Below are 23,293 nucleotides of genomic sequence, written 5' to 3' on the forward strand. Positions count from 1 at the left end.
CAGACGACCATGGCATGGGAGCTGCATATCAATTATTAATAACTGAGTGTCCCTAGAGTACTCAGGAAAAACTTCATGTTCTCCTGAGTAACCTAATTTCTAATGTGTATTTAGTAAACCTTTAAATATTTTAAATTCTAAAATGAAAGTAATAAATGCATAGGTTTAACATTTGAAAGAGTGCAGGAGGGCTGATGAGAGAGACAGAGAGAGAGACAGGGAGAAATGGAGGAAAGGAAAAAGGGCGATGCTGGGCGGCCCCCAAACAGCCCTCCCACCTCCAGCCCTGCTCCTCAGGGGTAACCGCTTTTAATGGTTCTGATTCCATTTCTTCTCTGGTTACTTCCCAGATCTTTCTGATTTCTTGATCAGCTTATTTTCCTATTATGATCAATAAGAATTTAGCTGTCTTTACTATTGTTACAGCCTCCCAATAGTTACATCAATATTGACAGATGTACCTTCCATTATCTAACTGCAGCAGTAAGCAATACACGTGACACTCCCCGCTAATGACAGAAGGCACCCCTGATCCCTGAGACTAGGTATTGGCACCGCCAGCCTTCCCCCCTGCCCTGCCCTCACCGGCTTCCTCTTCCTGCTTTTGACGGTGGCGCCCTGCCTTATTAAGCTTCCTGACACGTGCACTGTATTTTTACTCATGGGTAAGTCTCTGTGCTTTGTCTGTAGAGTCCAAAAAGTTGAAAACCAATTAACCTGAATTATTAATAGTTAGCATAGCTAACTCCTCTAATAGATAAACCTCCAAATATAAAATGGCATAAACACCATCATTTGTTTCTTGCTGATGTACGTGTTCCTGAAGATAAGTGGGTCCATGGAGTGGCATCTCCTCCTCAGCCACTCAGGGACCCAGGTGACCCAGGCTCTGACATCTTGAGCGTGAGACTCCACGGTCATCCAGTTTCAGCCGTGGGAGGGGAAACTGGCCAAAGGAGCACGATGTGGGTGTTTTTAATGGGCCAGGCCCGGGTACACTGGCATCATTTCCACTCACAGGCATCCAACAGCACCTTGTCACATGGCACACCTAGACGCACGGAAGATGCACCTAGAGCTACTTTGCAGCAGGCTGGCTGGGCCCCATTCCCGGCTGCCTTAGGTGATTTGCATGGTTCACTGCAGAGCCCAGCACCGCTGCAGGGTTGCACCCCTCCCTCTACGTCCAATGACTCAAAGCATAAGCCACGCCTAGGAAAATGTTCCTGGTGTCAAACGCAAATGACTTTTCCTTTCCTAGACTTTACCAATTATTCAAAACCATCATTGTTTTTATTGTTCCATACTGGGGCCCTATCTTTATTATGTGGTTGTTTTTCTAGAATTTCTAATTGCCTTTTCCTTGTTGAGAAAGAAGAAATATTAATGCTATTCACCATTGTCCCAATTATACATTTGAGCTTCTTATGCATTTCATGGATTGCTTAGAATCAGTTCTGTTTTTTTTTGCAGTTGTCATTTTCATTAAGTTAGATTCACTCTGGTCCAGTTTGGACCCACTGCTCCACATTTAGGCCATCTCTGCTTCTCTGCTTGCCCTGGCTGGGTCGAGAGGACATTTGTCACTATTATTATTCTGCTTCTTTCTAATGGCTTTTTTTTCCTTCAACCTCTACTTTTATCTTGTCCTTGCATTTCCCACCCATCCCGTCTCCCCACTTAATCTACTGAGAATCCCCTTCCCCAGGAACACCTGTTCTGAGACCATCCGGTCGTACACTCCTGCATAGAGGGGCCACCCTGGGACCTCTGGTCCCTCATTGCAGCCTCAGACCCTGGACAGTCACTTCCTCTGCTCCTATTCAGTGCCCTATTTCAAGTGCTCAAATAACTCATTAAGAAATGATGCTTGGTTAAAACTGTTCCAATATTGGCTAAGCTAAATGATAGCACTAGTGGTGAGCATCACAGTCACCCCTGGAGACCATGGCAGGCGGGGCTTGGGGGGGCTGCCAGTGGGCACTGTGGTGTTCCATCTCTTTATGTGGACACCAGCCTGCAGAGTTCGATTCACTTTGCCCACTTCTCTGCGTGTATGTTGCACTAGAGCAAAAAAAAGTTTATTAAAAACAGAAAGGATCTTGGGACCCTTAGAACTCACCGCATGTCTGAAAATCATACTTGTTTGATAGATGTCTAGATGTGGAACTTAGGTGGAAACTTTGTCAGCACTCGAAAAAACATCACCCTGCTGCCTTCTGGAAAAACGTCACCCTGCCGCCTTCTGGAATGCTACTATGCTATGTTGCTGTTGGAGATCTAATGCCGGTCTGATTTTTATTTCTTTGTAGCTGAATTATTTTTTCTTTAGGTAATACTTTAGTCTCTCTTTAAACCAGGTGTTCTGAATTTTTACAATGACATGTGAAGATATCTTTTAAAATTCATCTTACTTAGCAGTTCACAACTTTCTCAATATGAACATTTGAGTCTCCCTGACAATTTGGGGACCTTTTCTGGTGCTATTTACTTGAAAATTGCCTCTACTCCATTTTCTCTGTTTTCTTTTCCTAAAACTTCTATTGGCTGAATGTGGTCTGTCCTAGAAGGATCCTTCATGCCTCATTACCCCTTCACTTCTTTCGTTTTACTTTTTAGAAAATTTCCCCTTTTCTTTTGATTAAAAAAAATTCAGAAGTTACCACATTCCAGGTTTCCAAGAGCTTTTATGAGGCACAATTGCTGTTTTCTTAAAGTACATGTTCATGTTTTATGGCTGCATTATATCCTTAAATCTCTCTGAGAATTCTAATTATTGGGAGGATTTTGTTTCTAAATTGCTTCTTCATAGGCTATTTTTATTCTCTTTGATTATTTTAGATTATCTTAAATATTTCCAGTCACATTTAAGAATGAGGCTTACTTGAGTTTTGTAGATTGTCATTGGACAAATTTTGCTTTGGGGGAGTGAGCCAGAGGCCCAAAATGTCGTAATTTGAAGATCTTTATTCTAAGTCACCAACACTGCAAAAGCCCTGGATCTACTCTAGATGTACAGCCCTTTCAGAATCTTTGAAGAAGAGTGATTTGGGCCAGTCAGTGGGCACTGGCGCCGTCAGATTGCAGGGTAAGCGTGACCAGAGTTGACCATCCCCAGTACCTTCCATTAACCCACAGAATCACGGCCACCACCCACACCAGGAGCAGCTCCCTCCATCCCCACGGCCCTCCCCCAACACATATGCACCCCCATCCACCCCGGATCACAACTCTATATCAGCAAGGAGGCTTCCTCCATCCATCCGCGCACCATCGTCAAGAAATTCACTTAAAGCTCCTTCTCTGATGACTCCTCTCCAACCAGCTTTTGCCTGTTTCATCGTTTCACTGCCATGTCTTAAAGGGACCTGAGGAGGGAGAGGAAATAAACACCATGCTCAGTCATCTTGAATCAGAATCCAGCCAAGTCTGTCGAACAGAGGACTGGTGCCAGGTGCTTTGGCCTTGGGCTAAGGGGCTGTTCAGGAAGAGGTGGGCGAGGTCAGTGCACCCCCAGCGGCTCCTCCGAGGCTACAGTGGCTGTCTGGGCTTTGGGGACTTGAGAGACGTGGAGCCGATGCCGGAGGGGAGGGTCTGGTCAGTGGGGTCCTTTAGTTTAGGGAAAGGAAGGAGCAGAACTGAGCACAGTGGTTTGCTTCTGAACTGTTTTCTCTTCATGACATTAGGTTTTTGTTGTATATTTTTATTTAGAAAATTACATCACACAGTAATCCCCATCTGTGAAAGTTTCTCAGCTTTTTAGACCCCTTCCCCATCACGATGCTCTGCACCTCAACATGGGACTCACATATTGTCTGTTGCCTGTCTACAGGAGGATCCGTGGCTCGCCTGGTCACAAGCATGTTGAGATGAATCCAGCCTGGTGCCACCTACAGCCGTGAAGGCCCGCGGTCTGACCCTATAATGTGCTGCCTTCCTGAGACGGCTGCACTTCTGCAAAGCCCTCGTGCCCTCATGTCCTAGCCATGAAATCATGCAGACTTTCGATCACAGGCCTTAGCAGTGAGAAACAGAAAAGTCTTTTGGTTTCTGTCAATTGCAGGGCGAAAAACTTGTTGAACTCTGCTAACAATACATGAAGCATGGTGAAGGCACCTCCATAAAGTCTCGTTTACTCCTACTCAGTAAAGAAAGGGGAGCTAGGCTGGGCGTGTTGGCTCACGCCTATAATCCCAGCACTTTGGCAGGCTGAGGCAGGCGGATCATGAGGTCAGGAGATCGAGACCATCCTGGCTAACGCGGTGAAAACCCGTCTCTACTAAAAATACAAAAAAATTAGCCAGGCATGGTGGCAGGCGCCTGTAGTCCCAGCTACACTCACTCGGGAGGCTGAGGCAGGAGAATGGCATGAACCCGGGAGGTGGAGCTTGCAGTGAGCCAAGATTGCGCCACTGCACTCCAGCCTGGGTGACAGAGCGAGACTCTGTCTCAAAACAACAACAACAAACAAACAAACAAAAAACAAAGAAAGGGGAGCTATTGTTAAATGGGAAAGGAAACTGAGGCACAGAGAAATTTTGGTATTGGGAAAGGTGATGTGACTCGGATTTGAACCTGTGTCTTACTCCAAAGTCAGGACTTTTCCAAGTACATCACAGCTGAATCCAAATGCCATGAAGACATCACACTAACAACACATTACACCATGTTAACACCATGCAAACACCATGCAGACACCACACTAAATCACACTACACCATGCTAACATCACACTGACACCATGCTGACACCAAGCTAACATCACACTGACACCATGCTGACACCACACAAACACCATGGAGACACCATGCAGACACCACACTAATACCACATCACACCATGCTAACAGCATGCAAACACCATGGAGACACCATGCAGACACCACACTAATACCACATCACACCATGCAAACACCATGGAGACACCATGCAGACACCACACTAAATCACACTATACCATGCTAACATCACGCTGACACCATGCAGACACCACACTAATACCATGCTGCATCATGCTAACATCATGACCACCACACTACACCATGCTAACACCATGCTATCACCACTCTATTGCCATGCTAACATCATGGAGACACCATGTGGACACCACACTAGCAGCAGGCTAATACCACACTAACACTATGCCAACACCAGCTAGCACCAACTACAGGCACCCAGCCAGGTGCAGAAGTTAGGGAGTCTACTGCAGATGAAAAGGCCCCCCGAAAGCCTTTATGATGTGGATATGCTGACACTCCGCGCCTATTCTGGTGTGAACAGATCTGAGGTTTATTGATCTAAATCAACGTGGGCTGAGGAACAGCACAGTAACTGATGTGATCAAACGAGCTTCTCATACATGGCCCAGAAACTCTCTGTCACGGCGTGAGGCAACCAGACACTAAGTCCTAGAGAGACTCTAAAATGTCTCCCTAGTAACATGAAAATACTTCTGCCAGCTCTTCAGCTAACCATCAGTATAATTCAACAAAAGTAGCCCAGTTACAGATGTAAGAACTGGGCACCTCAACATACTTTATTTTTAAAATGTACTAACAGACACACCTTCATCTGTTTCACATTCTAATACACAAATACTCCAGTGGAGAGTGGCAGCCACCATTGTCACCTCGCCTGCTCCAGACTCTTCCAGCGCTGTTGGCCCAATTGGATGTCCCCAGCGTGTCCTCTATCTGATAAGTGCTTCCTTAGCACTTCTTCGATTTGGCACAGAATTCCCACATTCCATGTCAACGAGGAGCTGAAGGGTCATTCAACAAAGATTTATGGAGGCCTCACCACGCACCAGCAACATACATCCACGGGACCGTTCTGTGTCTTGATAATAGGGGAGCCGCCCATGAGATAAAATTGCACACGACCAAATGCATCCAAACACACTACTCAGCAGAACCAGGGAAGTCTGAAAGATCACTGGTCCGCACCAATGTCAATATCCCAGGTATGAGATTAGACTGTAGTTTTACAAGATGCTATTGTCAAGAGAAGCTGGGTAGAGAGTGCACAGGCCCTTTCTATATTATTTCTTACAACCACATGTGAATCTACAATTATGTCAAAGTAAAAACGTTTAAAAGGGAGAAGGGGACAGACGTCTTTGCCGCGGTAGGACTGGCTGGGCCTGGGGCTGGGAATGAAGAATGAACTCCCCAGGGCACTGGTGGCCAGCCAGGACTGAGAACCGTCGTCCACAGCACTGACCCCCCGACCCCCCACAGCCATGTCTGTCTCCTCTCCTCCCGTGGTGGGGGCTGAGAGGCAGCAGCTTCCCGGGAATGCCTTGAGTAAAGCAAGCACGGTGCCCCTCAGCTGTTTCTAACTCACTCGGGTGAATGACTCCCTTCATCTACACCACCTGGCTTCTTAAAGGAGCTTCCAAACATTTTAACCATCACACAAATCAAAACGCAGGCAGAGCAGTCTCCTCCACAGTGACCCTCCTTGCTTAATTAAACCACATCTAACAAGTGATCTGGACAGGCGGTGCTGTGCTGCTTCCCCGAACGTGTGCCACGAAATCCCATCAACAGAGCAAGTTCGCGCGAAGCAGACTCACTCCTCAGGCTCCTGGGGCTGGATCCTTCAGCTGCCAAAGCACACAGTGCCTGCGAGCCATGCCACCCAAGGGAATGGCAACAGTCAGAGGGAAGGCGGCACCCTGAAGGCGGGCACAGGGCACTTAAAATTATCCACAGATCTCAATTGCAAAAGCGATCCTTATGTTCTGTCAAAGTTAAGAGATGATTCATAATTTGTATCTGTGTACTTGGCAGAGTGGTGGCCAAAATTATGATAATGATACCTTGGCTTTATAGCCTCTCTTTCCTCCAAAGGGTCTGAAGTCTTCCAGATTGCTTCAATTTATCTTTTGACATTGCTGTGGAAAGCAAGAAGTAATATTGGTGGGTCAGACTAATATACCCCCATTTGATAGGGGGTTTAAGCAAAATTAGAGCCAGAAAATGACTCATCAGAAGATTGACATTTCACTCAGCAGTCCGACCAGGGAGAGATTCAAATTGCCCATCAAAGATTGTATTTGTTAGGGTAATCAACTCTAGCTACCATAACAAACATATCAGTGACTCAACCCAATGAGAACCCACTAGCTGCTCGTGTTACAGTCTGATGTGGGCCAGGCAGCCATGATGGGGCTGTCTCCTCCATGCAGTGACTCAGGGGGCCAGGGCTTCTCTGGCATGTGGGTCTCTAGAGCATCCATTGAGCTCTGTTGGCTGCATCCTGCTGGCCAGGGAGCACAGACCACAGCAGGAAGGTTGCACAGGGTCCTCAGGCAGGGCCTGAAAGGGCTGCAACTCATTGCTATGCTCACTTCTGGCCAGAACGCAATCACATGGCCGTGACTGACTGCAAAACAGGCTTGGAAATGTGGAATGTGCAAGAATAAACACTGGGAGTCTCTTGACCGAGACAGCACATCTACGATCATGCCTCCATATTTGGAGTACCAACTCCATCAACCTTCCCCAGGAGGAATGCCAAAGGAGAAGAATACATTTAAAATACATCATGCTGGCTGGGCAAGGTGGCTTATGCCTCTAGTCCCAGCACTTTGGGAGGCCAAGGATCACTTAAGCCCAGGAGTTTGAGATCAGCCTAGGAAACATGGTGAAATCCCATCTCAACAACAACCACAACAACAAAAACACAAAAATTAGCCAGCCACAGTGGCTCACACCTCTAATTTTCACACTTTGGGAGGCTGAGGAGGGAGGATCACTTAAGCCCAGGGGTTCAAGAGCAGCCTGGGCAACATGGCAAAACCTCATCGCTACCAAAAAATACAAGACTTAGTCAGGCGTGGTGATGTGCACCTGTAATCCCAGCTATCTGGCGGCTGAGGTGAGAGGACTGAGCCTGGGAGTTCGAGGCTGCAATGAGCTGTAATCACTCCACTGCACTCCACCCTGAGTGACAGAGAGAGATCCTGTCTCAAAAAAAAAAAAAAAAAAAAAAAAAACAATTAAATAAAATAAAAAAATAAAAACAAATACAATACCTCATGCCAGCTAACACACTGCCTCAAAGTAGTGCAAGAAAAGAAACCAATATCTGCTATGTCTAAAGAAAATCTACTTACCATCTCAATTCCCTTCCCTGTCTCTTTTCTAAAAAGGAAAATAAATCGCTCTGGTCCTGGTCAAGATGCAGTAAGTCCACTACAGGCTCTCTCCCACCAACTACAACAAAAAACTCTGACAGCGTACAGAAAGCTAGCACCTGAGGACTCCAAAATGTGGGCAACAGCAGGCAGATTGGAACGGGAAGTTGGAACTTGACAGGTGACCAGTAGGCATGAAGTTATTGGATTCTCTCTTGTTATCTCTCAGCTTTGTCCTGAAGGCAGCCAGAGCCTCAGCACTACTCAGCAAGCAGTTACAGAAATAACTTCAAGAGAATCCCTCTCTTTTTGCCCAGAGGACTGAAAAAGAGGATCAGAGGGAGCTAGCTGGGACACCAAGGTCCTTTCTCTGTCTCCTTTCCTGGCCCTGCTCTGAGGCCACCCCATCCTGAAATTATGGCAGTGGCAGGGGTGTTGTCACTAAAATACCAGAAAAACATCATCCCTCTGGCTGGGGGAACTGAGAAAATGGGCCTCTGTGTTCCAAAAATATTGGGGGAACCCACTAATTTTTTTGTCTTTTTTCTCTTGCCACTTTGCCCTGAAAACCACTCTACTCAGGTGAAACTGCAATACAGTTTCTCACATGGCTGAGAAACCAGAGCTTTCCAGCCAAGGATTGTGCCCCTGTGATCCAGACAGTATGGGGGAATTCCCAGGGGCAGACAGTTAAGTAGTCCCCCATTATTAGGGGGCTAATGTGTGTGAGCTGCCATGAACCCTAGGCTTACCTCTAAGCTGTGCATGCACGGAACATAGAGAGGCAGAGTGGATTAGTCAGCTCGGGCGACCATGACAAAATACCATAGACTGAGTGATTTAAACAACAGAAGCTTATTTTCTCACAGTCCTGGAGACTGGAAGTATGAGATCAGGGTGCCAGCAGGGTCTAGTTCTGGGAAGGACCCTCTTTCTGGCTTACAGATGACCACATTCTCACTGTGTCCTCAATCAGAGAGAGCTCCCTGGTCTCTCTTGTAAGGGCACTAATCCCATCATGAAGACTCCACCCTCGTGACCTCATATGAACCTGATTACCTCCTTAAATAGCCCCGCCTCCGAATACCATCACACTGGGGGTAGGGCATCAACATATAAATTTGAAGGACACAATTCAATTATGGCACATAGAACAAAGGCTTTTAAAACTGAACTGGTGCTAAAATCACTTCCCACAGAAGGTGAGACAGGATTGTGGCCTGAACTTAACATTCTCTGGAAAATTTAAACACAGGTTTCTCAATGTATGCACTGTTGACATTTTGGACAGGATAACTTCTTGTTGGAAGAGACTGTCCTGTGCATTACTGGATGCTTAGCAGCACCTTGCCTCCATCCACTAAACACCAGGAAGTAGTACCCCACAGTTGGAATAGTCAAAATTGTCTCCAGACATTCCCAAGTGTTCTCTATGGGGCAAAATCATCCCTGGCTGAAAACCATTGATTTAAACAAACTCAGCATCTCACAACATCATAGCCACTATGCCCAAGATATAATCCAAAATCACTCAACATACTAAGAGCTAGGAAAATCTGCCCAATTGTCAAGGTCTGATTAACTCAAACACCCAGGACACATGCAACTTTGAGATGGCTCAGGTGTTTGAATTATCAGACAAAGACTTTCAAGCAGCTAGTATAACTATGCTCCATGAGTAAAGGCGAACACTCTTGAAACAAAGAGAAAGACAGGTATTGCAGCAAAGAAATAGAAACCATAGAAGAAAAATAAAAACTTTAGAACTGAAAAAATAAAACAGAAGCAAAAAAAAAAAATCACGAAGATGCTTCAACTGTACAATTAAGATAACAGGGTGGGGGGAGCCCAAGAACTTGAAGGTAGAAAGTATAAATTATCCTATCTGAAGAACAGAGAAGGAGGAAAAGAGTGGCAGGGAGGTGGGAGGATGGGTGGAGAACATAGTCTCAGAAACTTCTGGGACAATTTCAGCCTCCCAAAAAGAAAACTCAGAATCTAGAAGGTTTTACTGGCAAATTCTACCAAACATTTAAGGGAGGAATAAAACTAATTCTATGCAATCACTTCCAGAAAATAGGAGAGGGAAGCCTGTACAACTCATTTGATGAGGCCAGCATTGCTCTGATGCCAAGAGCAGACAAAGATACCACAATAAAAGAGAAGAGACCAATATTCCTCATGAAGAAAGACACAAAAATCCTCCACAAAATAATAGCAACTAAAATCCTCAATATTTAAAATGAATAGCAAATCAACACTAAGGGACTTCAACCTCATGTAAGGCTGATCAGCATTTGAAAATCAATCAGTGTAATCCACCATGTTACCAGACTAAAGAAGAAAGCCTGATTATATCAATAAACACAAAAATGGCATTCAACAAAATTCAATACTGGTTAATGCTCATATAAATAGGAACAGAAGGGAATTCCTCAACCTGATATTGAGTATCTACAAAATACTAAAATTTGCCATCACACTTAGTGGTCAAAGACTGAAAAATTTATCCCCTCTGATCAGGAACAAAACAAGGATGTCATCTCTCACCACTCCTTTTCAACACTATACGGAGGTTCTGGCCACTGCAATACAGCAGCATACAGAAATCGCATATGGAATAGAAAGGAAGAAATAAAACTGTTTCTGGTTTGCATAAAACATAAATGTCTGCCTGAAAAATTCCAAGTATTCTAGGAAAAAAGAAAGCTCCTCAAGCAAATAAATGAGTTTATCACATGTGGTATTAGTGAGAGGACAAATACATAGATCAATGGAACAAAACAGAGAGTCCAATAATCCCACACAAATATATAGTTAATTGATTTTTGACGAAGCTGCAAAGGCAATTCAAGGAATCATCTTTTCAACAAAAGATGCTGGACAATTGAAATGCATATGCAACAAAATGAGCCTCCCTGGAGCCTTCCATAGCTCGTAAAGTTAAGTCAAATGGATCACAGGTCTAAATGTAAAAGGCAAAACTGTAAAGAAACTATTTAGACTTTGTGTGAGGTAATTAGGTTTTAGATATGGCACCAAAAGCATGATCCGTTCAAAAAATTAATAAATTAGACTTCAGCAAAATTCAAAACTTTTGTTAAGAAAAATTTTAAAACTATAGACTAAAAGCAAATATTTACAAGTTACATATCTGATGAAGAACTTATATCTAGAATATATGAAGCACTGTCAAACTCAACAGTTAGAAAACATGCAATCCAGTTTTTTAATTTCCATTTTTGTTTTAGATTCAGGGGGTGCATGTGCAGGTTTGCCCAACTGAGGCTTCCGCTTCCATTGATCCCATCCCCCAGACAGTAAACATAGTTTCCACTAGGAAGTTGTTCAGCCCTTGGTACCCTCCCTCCCTCCTTTTAGAGTTCCCAGTATCTACTGTTCCCCTCCTTACGCCCACGTGTACCCAAGATTTAGCTCCCACTTATAAGTAAGGATATGCAGTATTTGGCTTTCCGATTCTGTGTTAATTCACCTGGATAATGGCCTCCAGCTGCGTCCATGCTGCTGCAGAGGCCATGATTTCATTCTTCTTTATGGCTGTGTAGTATTCTATGGTGATTATGTACCACAGTTTCTTTATCCAATCAACCACCACCCAATTTTTTTTAAAGGACAAAAATTTGAATAGATAATTCGCCAGAGATGTATGGATAGAAAATATATACATGAAAAGAGACTCAACATGGAGTCATTAGAGAAATGCAAACTAAAACCACAATTAAATGCCTCTACATACCAACCAGCAAGGCTAACATTAAAATGACAGATCACATCACCACTGGCAAGGGTGTGGGCATCCATAATGCATCCCCATTGCTGGCAGGAATGCAGAATGGCATAACCTCTTTGGGAAACTGGCAGTTTCTTTCTTTTTTTTTTTTTTTTTTGAGATGGAGTCTCACTCTATCACCTAGGCTGGAGTGCAGTGGCGCGATCTCGGCTCACTCCAAGTTCCACCTCCCGGGTTCACACCATTCTCCTGCCTCAGCCTCCCGGGTAGCTGGGACTACAGGCGCCTGCCACCATGCCTGAATAATTTTTTGTATTTTCAGTAGAGATGGGGTTTCACAGTGTTAGCCAGGATGGTCTCGATTTCCTGACCTCGTGATCTGCCTGCCTCGGCCTCCCAAAGTGCTGGGATTACAGGTGTGAGCCACTGCACCTGGCTGAAACTGGCAGTTTCTTATCAAGTTAAACAAACACTTACCACATGACTAGGTCTCTCCCGAGCAGGCAAGAGTAAAGCAAACTATGACCACACACAAATCTGCATGAAATGTTTATAGCAGCCTTATTCATCCTCATCCTCATACGCATCCAAATACCCAGCCCCGGAGAACGGATCACCTGTGGTACGTCCATGCGATGGGGCACTCATCAGCGATAAAGAGGAAGGAACTGTGGACGCCTGCATCAGCGTGGAGGGATCTCAGATGCACTGTGTTTAGTAAAACATGTTTACTTTTGACCCCATTTACATGTTTGATCATATATTATTTATATGTATGATTCCATTTATATGACCTTCTGGAAAAGGCAAATGCAGAGATAAAGACCAGCTCACAGGTTGTCGGTGGCTAAGGGGGAGGGAGGGGAGACTCAGCTGCAAGGAATAGCTCAGGGGAGATGGCCAGGGTGGATTCTTCGTCTCGATTGTGGTGGAGGCTGCTCCAGTATGCATTTGTCAAAAACTCATAGATTGTACACTAAAAAGAGTGGATGCACATTTTAAAACTCAATATCTTTGCCCGGGCACAATGGCTCATGCCTGCAATCCAAGCACTTTGGGAGGCAGGCAGATCACTTGAGGCCCGGAGTTCAAGACCAGCCTGGCCAACATGACCAAAACTGTCTCTATTAAAAATACAAAAATCAGCCGAATGTGGTGATGCACACCTGTAATTCCAGCTACTAGGGTGGCTGAGGCAGGAGAATTGCTTGAACCTGGGAGGCAGAGTTTGTAGTGAGCCAAGATCGAGTCACTGCACTCCAGCCTGGGCGACAGAGCGAGACTCTATCTCAAAACAAACAAAAACCTGGATATCTTTAAAAAAATAAATAAATGTGAAGACGTCTGCATGCAGCCAGCAGTATGGTGGCTTAAATAGTCTAGGGAGTGGAACCCCGTGTGCTCAAGTGGCTGCAGCACAGCTCATTGATGGCCCAAATTTCAAGACGAGGCAAGGCAGGGAACAGGGAGGGTCTGTGAGTGGGTGGAGCAGTCAGAGAAAGGCCCTGAGGGAGAAAGCCCAGGTTGTCAGTATGGCCAGAAGGACTGTGAGGAAATGAGTTTGGTGGTTTGGGGAGTGGCCACCTCGATGTGTGGGTGAGCCTGGCTCCAGGCTGGAACATGGGGCTGCTGGTGTGGGGCTGAGGGGCTACACGTCTTCTTTGACAGGGTCTCTGCACCTGCTCAAATGCAAGCGTTCTTTCTCTACCCCGACTTGGGTTTGTGGCTAGGGACGGGCTGCACAGGACCTGCACGGTCTGCCTTTTCACAACTGGACAGGATTTTTGAAAAGTTTTTGTGGTGGCTGCAATCTAAGAACAGGACAAGAAGTCTTAAAAATATATTATCCACTGTACATGTAGCTAATATCATTGGCTTTTTCTATCTGTGCTGTCAAAGATGGAACCGGACCAAGTGCCTGTCCCCAGATCTGATTTCCGTACTCACCCCTTCAGTAATCCCACCATCGAGTTGGGACTTACTGTGGCAGCCTCAGCCCTCTGTGAAGGATCATTATAAGAACCAGACATTTAGGCCGGGCACAGTGGCTCACGCCTGTAATCCCAGCACTTTGGGAGGCCAAAGTGGGTGGATCACCTGAGGTCAGGAGATAGAGAACAGCCTGACCAACATGGAGAAACCCCGTCTCTACTAAAAATACAAAATTAGCCAGGCATGGTGGCGGGCACCTGTAATCCCAGCTACTCAGGAGGCTGAGGCAGGAGAATAGCTTGAACCCCAGAGTCGGAGGTCGCAGTTAGCCAAGATCTCACCATTGCTCTCCAGCCTAGGCAACAAGAGTGAAATTCCGTCAAAAAAAAAAAAAAAAAAAAAAGCCCAACAACAACAACAACAAACCAGTCATTTAAACAGCGTGTTCATCTCTTTTAGAAAAACCAGGGCTGAATGTAGGGTCTACTGTGTCGCTCTAAGTCATTACAGAACTTCATTTTGAGAACTGCATTTTAGTTCCAAGAATAAGTTCATTTTTGCAAAAGAATCGGTTTTGCTTTTGTGTTTTTATGTTTCCCTATGTTTTAATCTAATTAAAGACTAAATTTCTTCTCGGAAAGGTAAAAAGCATATATCATTATTCCTCTAAACAAGTGAAGTGGGTCCCTACACAAAAAACGCAGACTCACCAGATAAGAGTAAAAGAAGAGAAAGCTTTAGTGCAACTCCCAGCCACCCTTGGACCCAGACAGGGTCCCTCGCAGGGACTTGTGCCTTTCCAGGTGGATATGCAGGGCTGAACTGCAGGAGGTGGGCTCTCAGCCCTCTGCCACGGCGGCTCAGGGGAGGCCTGCCACTTCTACCGGGGGAATTTAGCCAGGAAAAAGGCACCCCTGCCTGAACCAGAGCACTCACCAGGGCCTCAGAATGCCCCCTGGAGAGCCCCACGGGCCAGTCTTCTGCAGCTAACAGGCTGTGGTCAGGCAGGCAGGGATCAGCCCCGCCAGCACAAGCCGCCCACTGAACCTGCTAAATCAATGGCTAGAGCCCCAGACAGGGCCCTGGTGACCAAATCCAAGCTTCTGTGAAGCCATGAGCTGCATCATCCTGCCTCAGGGTGGATGGGCGTTGACTAATTTATGGAACATTGGAACATTCCAGAGAGGAAGCGGAGCTGTGTTACAGTCACCCTGGGGGAGGGGAGGGCACAGTGACAGGCGCAAGGGAAAGTGCCTCAGCGCAGCATCTGCAGACTACGATTTAGCACCAGAAGACGCTCGCGCCGGGAACCCCAAATTCCTCATGCCCATTCGTGGATTCTCTTTTCTGCCCTTATTCCCAACAGCAGCATTGTGTGCTGTGACTGATTTAAGAGCCACCTCAAATGCCTGTATGTGGGACAGGAATAAGAGAAAGAGAAGGGGAAGAGACAGAGAAAAGGAGAAAAGGAATGGCCTTAGCCCTATCCACAAGCTCAGAATAACTAACGATTTACTTGGAGGAAAGATCAGCATTTTCTCTAAGATTTCCATAGATTTGAAGGCAGCTGTGGGAGCACGGAATATGCAACCCCTTTATTAGAACCTCAAACTCATTTGAGGCTCATCACCTCTGAGTCATCCCACAACAAGCTTTCTAGAGGCTACGTTGTTGTCATTTTGTGAACAAAACCATGACTGGCCTCTGGGGGTAGGAAGGGCCAGACAGAATGACCTCAGATGAAAAGGAAAAGAATATGGGCCTCATCAATGCGTCCTGTGGTTCAGCCCACCTCTTACTACGCACAGGTCTCACTTTAGAGAATGTTCACGTTATTTCGTAAAAGGCGAATCTCCTGACTTTATCACCCTTACTCTGTCAAAAGACCAAGAACGACGTGAACTCTCAGCACCTTGGGGCACCGTGCTGATGACACGCGCGCTGAAATGGAAGTTCAGACATCACACATTTCAAGGAAAAGTAGACGCCAAGCCCCCTCGGCCAGGGCTGGCGGCAGGAGGGATGGAGTAAGTGCCTCCACTTAATAGAGCCTTGATCCTATGCAGTGCCGATCCCAACGTCCTCCAAGCACAATAGCTTAATTTATTGTTGTTGGCAGCTTAAGTGGACTGCAGCTTAATTTGTGGCACCAGGTCAGCTGAACTTCACTCTGTAATCTCCAGAGTTCCCTCCACATATTTAGGCTCCGTCGCTGGGCTTGTTCCAAAGCAGCAAATTAGAATTCTCTTTCTTTTATAACAAGAAAAAATTAGTTTATACACAGAAGGAAAGAGAAATAAATTACAATCCTCTGTCTTCCTTACAGAAAGAGAAAGGAAGATATATTGATTTATATATGAAAATGCCTTCTATTACGGGAGGAATTGGTTTGTGATTGTAATTTTAAGCGGGAGTGTAGCCCTTTGGGGTTGGTGATGTCTGGGGAAGGGCTGGGCTGATTGGGCTGTAGAGGGTCACCTCGCCTGCTTGCAGGAGCTTCCGAGTCCTCTAGGCCGGAAGGCAGGTGCATGCTAGTTTACCCCCACATCCAATTGCACCTAATTTACTTGCTTCTCTGGAGTTCTTGGCCATCACTCCCAACACCAGGTATCAGTGTTCTGCAGATGGGAGGGTGTGCTGGGATGAAATTCTAACTCACGAAGATTTCACTCTGTCACATTTTAATGATCACAAGAGTAGCTGAGGTGTGTCTTCTCAGGAGATCAGGTCCAAGGGCCTTTTTTAGGGTTCTTCCCTGACAGCTGTTTCTCCTTTTCACAAACCCACCCTTTGTGTCATCTCCCACTCCCTCCCCAGGATGAAAGCTGCATCTCCTCTCCGGTTCTACAGCCACTCCATCTAGCCTAAACCGCTTTACCTGAAATTATTATAACAGCTTCCAAGCTAGTCTGTCCTTTCCAGGCACAGTTATAGGTGTTGAGGTCTGTTCCACAATTTCATATCTGTGTGCATGGAGCGCACAGTGTGCATGCAGGGGAACCGCTGCCCTGAAGTGCACACATGGGGACCCCCTGCCACGGCGCACACACGCAGGGACCCCCTGCCACGGCGCACACACATGGGGACCCTCTGCCACGGCGCACACACGGGGACCCCCTGCCATGGCACACACACACGGGGACTCTGCCATGGCGCACACACACGGGGACCCTCTGCCATGGCGCACACTCATGGGGACCCTCTGCCACGGCGCACACATGGGGACCCCCTGCCACGGTGCACACAGGGGGACCCTCTGCCATGGCACACACACACAGGGACCCCCTGCCACGGTGCACACACGGGGACCTCCTGCCACGGCACACACACGGGGACCCCCTGCCACAGCGCACACACGCAGGGACCCCCTGCCACGGGGCACGCACATGGGGACCCCCTGCCACAATGCACACACGCAGGAAGCCCCTGCCACGGTGCACACACGCAGGGACCCTCTGCCACAGCGCACACACATGGGGATCGCCTGCCACGGCGCACACATGGGAACCCCTGCCACAGTGCACACACACGGGAGCCCCTCACCATCCTTCTTGCCACCTAGCTCCACCTCAGCTTGTCTGCCTGGCGTGGGGGACCATCACTCATCACTGCCTGACTCGCATCCCATTCCTGTGTGAGTGCACCACGGCAGGCGGCTCTTCTGTGTATGGGCTGTGGCAGGGGGTCCCCGTGTGTGTCCACTGTGGCAGGGGATCCTCGTGCATGTCCACTGTGGCAGGGGGTCCCCATGTGTGTCCACCGTGGCAGGGGATCCTCGTGTGTGTGCACCACGGCGCCATCCCTCTGGCTGCATCTCATGAGCCCCCTTGGCTGAACCCCTATTTCTCATCCCAGCACAGGCCTCACTCACCTCTAGCTCCACGTTTCCCAGATCTTCAAAGCCATCATGTGCCTCTTTGCCAAACGTGGTCTTTCTCTTCTTCTAAAACCTGATATTTACCTGCTTGGATTCTACTGAAGGTTAAATTGTGTGTTCACCAGAGCGTCCCTCATCTAGGCGTGAGCTCACTAGGACAGGGACAATGCCACATTCTAACCCAGCGCTGGGCACAGGCCAGGCCCCACACGGTGTCCACCCTTGCGGTGCATCTGCAGGTGTGTGAGCACATTGTGATGCCTGGGTGACTTGTCCCTTTGTCCCTGTATTTGGTTTCCCCAGCCAAGCAGAAAGCACACAAGCTCCTCCTGCTCTCTGAGGCCCCGACACATGTGCCCCACGGAGCGGGCAGTCTACATGCTGATTTCCTGGCTGGTATCACCAGTGCTGCTATATACCGCAGGCCCAAGATACATGTTTGTTGATGTGAATGAGTGACTGCACTAACTCATCAACACCTCTAGGTGACTAGGAAGAAAAAGGCTGAGATGAGAGTGACGAAGGCTGAGACAGGAGGAGGCTTGGGCCTCACTGGGCGGATGTGAGAGGTATTCCACCAGCACAGCTTGAAGGGAAGGGCAGTGCCATCTGCACATGCACACACTGGCCTGAAGCAGTCATTATGTGCACAAAGATACATCAGTGTGTGCAGCTACAAAGTGCAGGTCACAGCTCGCCCGCACAGGAGCAAGAGTCCTCGTCGTTTTTAATCTGGAAATGCACTCTGCTTCTGTGACGGGTGGGGCCGTTACACACCCAACTTCCTAAGAACCCAGAGTTGTGTTATGACACACGATATAAAAGGCTCCTGGTGGCTGTTCTGCAAGAGTTACCGGCAGGAGAGACCAGCAGCAAGTTCTGGGTAATTACAGCCGTCATCAGGTGAGCCTGGACGTTACCCGGAATCAGCCCTCACACCTGCAAGGGGCTCCGCGCTTTCTGAAGGGCTTCTGCGCCGTGCGCTGTAGTAATGGTAATGGAAGTAGGAGTAAGAGTGATAATAACACTATCGTCGTGGTAATAACTTTAAAAGCGGCTGCCATTCCTTGAGGTTCTGCACTGGGCCAAGCACTAGTTCCATAAATTATAGCATTAAGCCTGAGAACATCCTCATCAAAATGAATTAGATGCTGTTATCCCCACTTAACAAATGCAGGCACCGAAGCACAAGGAAGGTAAGTCCTTGCCACCTTGGCCCCACAGTGAGTGGCAGATGTGAAACACAAGCCCAGGCCTGTCTGACTCCAGATTCCAGTTCTTCGGGCCTCGCCCAACAAGCAGCGCTTGGTTCTCATGTTGACACTGGTTGGTTCCCAGAGCAAACATCATCCTCCCAGTGCCCACGAGGAAACACTCAGAGAAGCCACACAATGCAGAGGTGGAGAATTTGACACCCTCCCAATGCTCCTGTCCCCTAATCCAGCCCTTCTCCTTTGTGTGCTCCCCTCTTGCTGTGAGCCCTGAATGGATTCGCCCTGAGAGAGGACCCCACCAAACGACGTGTCTTAAGCATAAGGAGAAATGTCTAAGATAAGGATTTTGCAAAAAGCCAAGAGGATGTTGAAGGGAAGCAAGTGGCGTCCCATCTTTAATGGCTGGTCTGCCGGTGACTTTAGCCACTGGCTGGGGAGACGGCCACGGGGGAATGGCTAGGATGACCTTGACTGGACGTAAGGGGGCTCAGCAGTGCCTGGAGGAGCCCAGCTGTCCGAGCTGCCAGCCAAGCCGTCCCAGGGACCTGCAGGAGCGTGCAGATTGCGTCCCTGTGTCTTCAGGAGGTGTTATAATTGGCCGGCTCCAACCACAGCGAGCTCAGATGACTGCTTTATGGTCGTTGGAACAGATCGCATCCTGTATGGCAATACGTCACTTCTTGAACCACAACATGCCCTTTGTCCTATTGAATTTTTAAGCACTTTAAATCCCTTCCTTTAATAAGACTACCCATGAAGCCAAAGTTTAAACAAAGGAGTTACTCACCTTAATCTTCCCTCAGTTTATCACGTCCAACATCTTGCACATTTCAAAAGGAACACACATTAGCAGTTTCCAATAATGAAGGTGTGAAGGTCACACAGGATCTGTTCTCTCAGCAGGAGGAAGAACTTTGCTTGGCTGTCGTGAAGACAAAGTGTTCTATTTGCTACAGATGCCCCGAGAGGGTCTCTGCAGTTCCCCCTTGGGAGGGTCTGGACTGACTGTAGAGGCATGAAGGTTAGGAGACCCTTCACTCCTCTCAGGCTTGTGCGTGGCACTTAGGGCTATGATCCTAATTGTGCAGGAGACAGGGGCCACAAGCACCAGCCCTCTGAACTTTCCCGACGCTGCCAGGCCATTGCCTCTGCCTCAGATGGGGCCCAAGCCAGCTTGAAAGAGGAGCACAACCCCTGCCCCATGTCCAGCTGCCTCTCAAGGGGGAATATGGGGTCCCTGGACTCGGATTCTGCACCTGCATTGTGGACAGCCCTTTCCTGACGTCCCACCTCCACTGTTTCACATGAATGGACTAAGCTGTAGGCCCTTCCAAGCAGGAGAGCGTGTTTTACTTGCTTTCTATCCTGAGTACTTAGCAGAGCATCTGAAGCCCAGTACATGTTTGCTGAATGAATGGCCTCAAATACTACTTTACCACGACCCCATTGGACAGATCATATACCACTCTGCTCTAAACACTGGGACAGATCAAGCTTTAAAAATAAGTCTAATGGTTGCCATTTTGTTTGATAGTCTCCTCTTAACACTTTTACATTATTTTGCATAAGATGCAGACCATTTATGGAATTTGATTTTTTATTTACTTATTAGCAACATCTAAGCGAAGGTTATGGCCCAGGCCCCATGCTAGACACAAAGAATTCAAAGATAAGCATGAACTACATTGCCCTCTCTCCATGTTTTGGTCTCTGACTGCTGAATATCAGCCCAGAAATCAGATAGTTGCTTTAAATTAAATATATTAAAAATGAAGTAGAAATCCAAATCCACAATGAACCCAGGCACAACGACACGCACAGTCCTGCAAACATCGTGCTAAATGTCAACACACAAGAGGCAGCTGAGCCCTGCCTTTCAGCTCCGGCCTCGAATCCCGGCTCTGAGCTCATTTGCTCTGCAACCCCAGCACTGCAGGTGCCTCCCGGGGCCTCTGATCTCTGGTGGGATGTGATAGGGCCGAGCACACAGCTGTAACCACGATGGCCCATGAGTCCTGGTTACAGAGGGTCGTTCCCAGGAGGAACTTTGTGGGGGCAGTGGGCAGCACAGGTGGGCTCCACACAGGGAAGGTGCCCAGGGTGTGCACCAGGAAGTCAGGAGCGAACCAGGTCCTGCTGTGTGGCTGCAGACTCCAAGAGCTGTCAGTTCTCGGGCATACGGGCGCCCCCGCATCACGTGGCCAGCTCGGGTCTGCAGCGCTGTCTGCACACTGCCCGGCTGTTCATCCCAGTGCACTGATCTACACGGTCCCTGCTCTGCAGCTGCATGCTGGAGGCAGGTGGGGAAGCAGGGTGCCTCACCCACCGGGGCTCTATCCACAGGGGAGTCCAGGCTGGTCTGTTCCCTCTGCAGTACCTGGGGTTCCCTCCTTCCCCACATCACCACATTCTCCTCGTGGGTGTCTGGAGGTCACCTTGCAGGTCCACAGAGGGCGGCTAGATTGCCTGCTCTCACAGGCAGCTGACCAGTACCACAATCACACCCGGCCAGGAGGTCACTCTGTCACCCTGCCTGGCGAGGCCGAGACAAGCTGCAGAGGCCATAGAACACCAGCTTTCCAGGGAGGCTGCAGGGTGTTGCTCAGAATGATGCACAGACAGCTGATGGCTGTGGCAGGGCTCATCCTCACTCCAAGGGCATCTGCTACATGCCTTTGAGGAGGACACTGAGGCAGACACTTTCGTGCAATTCATCTGCCCGCCCGGCAGGCTGAGTCCACTTTCTGTCATGCTTAGAAGGATTCAGAGCAGAACACCGCCCAGGGAAGACCTGAGGTGTGATGCTCCGGTCAGCTGGGGAGGCACGAACACACAAGGGCTTTTGGAAATGGAGGGAAGGGACCAGCGCCTGAATACTGGTCACACACCAGGCACCTTATGTGCATCTTGCCATGGAACCTGCACCTTCAGGAGGAGCCCATTAATACCATCTGTTTACAGATGAGGACGCTGCTGCCCAGAAGAAGAAGGGTCATTGCCCCAGGTAGTGAAGTAGCCCAACCATGATTCCAACTCAGGACCTCTGGCTGCAAAACCCATGTGACCTCATTCCACTAAATGATGCCACAAACAAAGCCAAACAAAATTAAAGCGGGGGCTGGGCACAGTGGCTCACGCCTGTAATACCAGCACTTTAGGAGGCCAAGGTTGGTGAATCACTTGAGGTCAGGAGTTTGAGACCAGCCATCTCTACTAAAAATACGAAAATTAGCTGGGCGTGGTGGTGCATGCAGGTAATCCCAGCTACTTGCAAGGCTGAGGCATGAGAATTGCTTGAACCCAGGAGGTGGAGATTGCAGCGAGTTGAGATCGCACCATTGCACTCCAGCCTGGGCGACAGAGCGAGACTCCGTCTCAAAAACAAACAAACAAACAAAAACGGGGGCAGAATTAAAAATGCAGATTCACCGAGGACACTCGTGTGAGGTGCTCCCAAGGTGGGGAAGCAGGAGGCGGGCTGTGTGGAGCATGCCGGAATTGTCGCTGGAGTCTGGCCTGACTCCAGCTGGGAGGGTCAGGCGGCGGCCCAGGGCTCTGTCGGTGAGCTTAGGAGCCCCATGCAATGAGCCATCCTCTGCACTAGAATTTGTCGAGTGCCACTCTGCAGTGGTCTCTGATTAAAAATTAAACAAAATGAACTTCTCCCGCAGCCAACTGAACTTTCTCCTGTGTATAAATACATGAGCACAAGCAGCCGGCTAAAGACAAAACAAGGTCGCTTTTGGCCGCACCAGTGAGCCAGCCTCCCATGCAGGCTGAGGGGTCCCCAGGCCTTGAGAGGGTCCCCAGGGCAGTGGTGGCAGCGGAACCGCCTTCGATAGCAGTCGCCTGATCACTCTGCAGCTCCGCTGGCTGCCAGAGCCAGTTTCTGTGGCCTGCCCACCAGAACAAAGGAAATCCGTGGATGGGCCCTGGTCACAGTCACGGTGTGGACAGGACTCTGTGGCCTCCAGCGGCCCTCAGGGTTCAGCTTGTGCCCTGTCCTCACTAACCCTGACTCCCAGCGCTCTTCCCAGGGAGCCTGCAGACAGAACTGGCTCTGCCCTGGGAAGAGGACAGGGCCTGATGGGCCTGAATGCCTGGCCCTGGGGCACAGGAACTGCCCAGACCTGAAAGAGCCTGGCAGTCACAGGTCAGCCTCCCTGAGCTGCACAGGAAGGCCCAGAGGGGAGAAGGGACTCGACCCACGTCTCCTGGCCGGAAAGTGGAGGACAGAGAGAGGGGCGGGAGCACCCGTCTATTGCTGCGTGTAACACACATGGCCCAGGCTGCTCCTGGCCACGGGGCTTCTTCCCTCCCCAAGTGCCATTTTCCTGCAGCGTAGACTGGGGCTCGCTGTGCGACGGGTCAGTGGCC

General features: G+C 48.4%; 1 long non-coding RNA gene across 3 annotated transcripts in view, besides 1 other annotated feature; it reads right to left on the bottom strand.

The window, feature by feature from the left end:
* Nucleotides 1-23,293, bottom strand: part of LOC107985840 (uncharacterized) — a 57,332-nt gene that overhangs the window by 23,724 nt on the left and 10,315 nt on the right. Inside the window, exon 3 of one of the 3 annotated variants that reach the window (XR_001739258.2) lies at nt 2,948-3,368. The exons of the other annotated variants lie outside the window; for them this stretch is intronic. This is a non-coding gene — a long non-coding RNA (uncharacterized LOC107985840). Of the gene's footprint in view, nt 1-2,947; nt 3,369-23,293 lie in introns of those variants that run through there. 3 annotated transcript variants of the gene reach the window in all.
* Nucleotides 15,220-16,165: an enhancer, noted in NCBI's record as "H3K27ac-H3K4me1 hESC enhancer chr2:3172751-3173696 (GRCh37/hg19 assembly coordinates)". NCBI's record gives its function as "activates a minimal SCP1, AML or CMV promoter by ChIP-STARR-seq in naive H9 embryonic stem cells {active_cell/tissue: H9 hESC(naive)}" and the evidence as "EXISTENCE:reporter gene assay evidence [ECO:0000049][PMID:30033119]".

The sequence above is a fragment of the Homo sapiens genome, chromosome 2, assembly GCF_000001405.40.
Source record: "Homo sapiens chromosome 2, GRCh38.p14 Primary Assembly".
Classification (NCBI taxonomy): domain Eukaryota; kingdom Metazoa; phylum Chordata; class Mammalia; order Primates; family Hominidae; genus Homo; species Homo sapiens.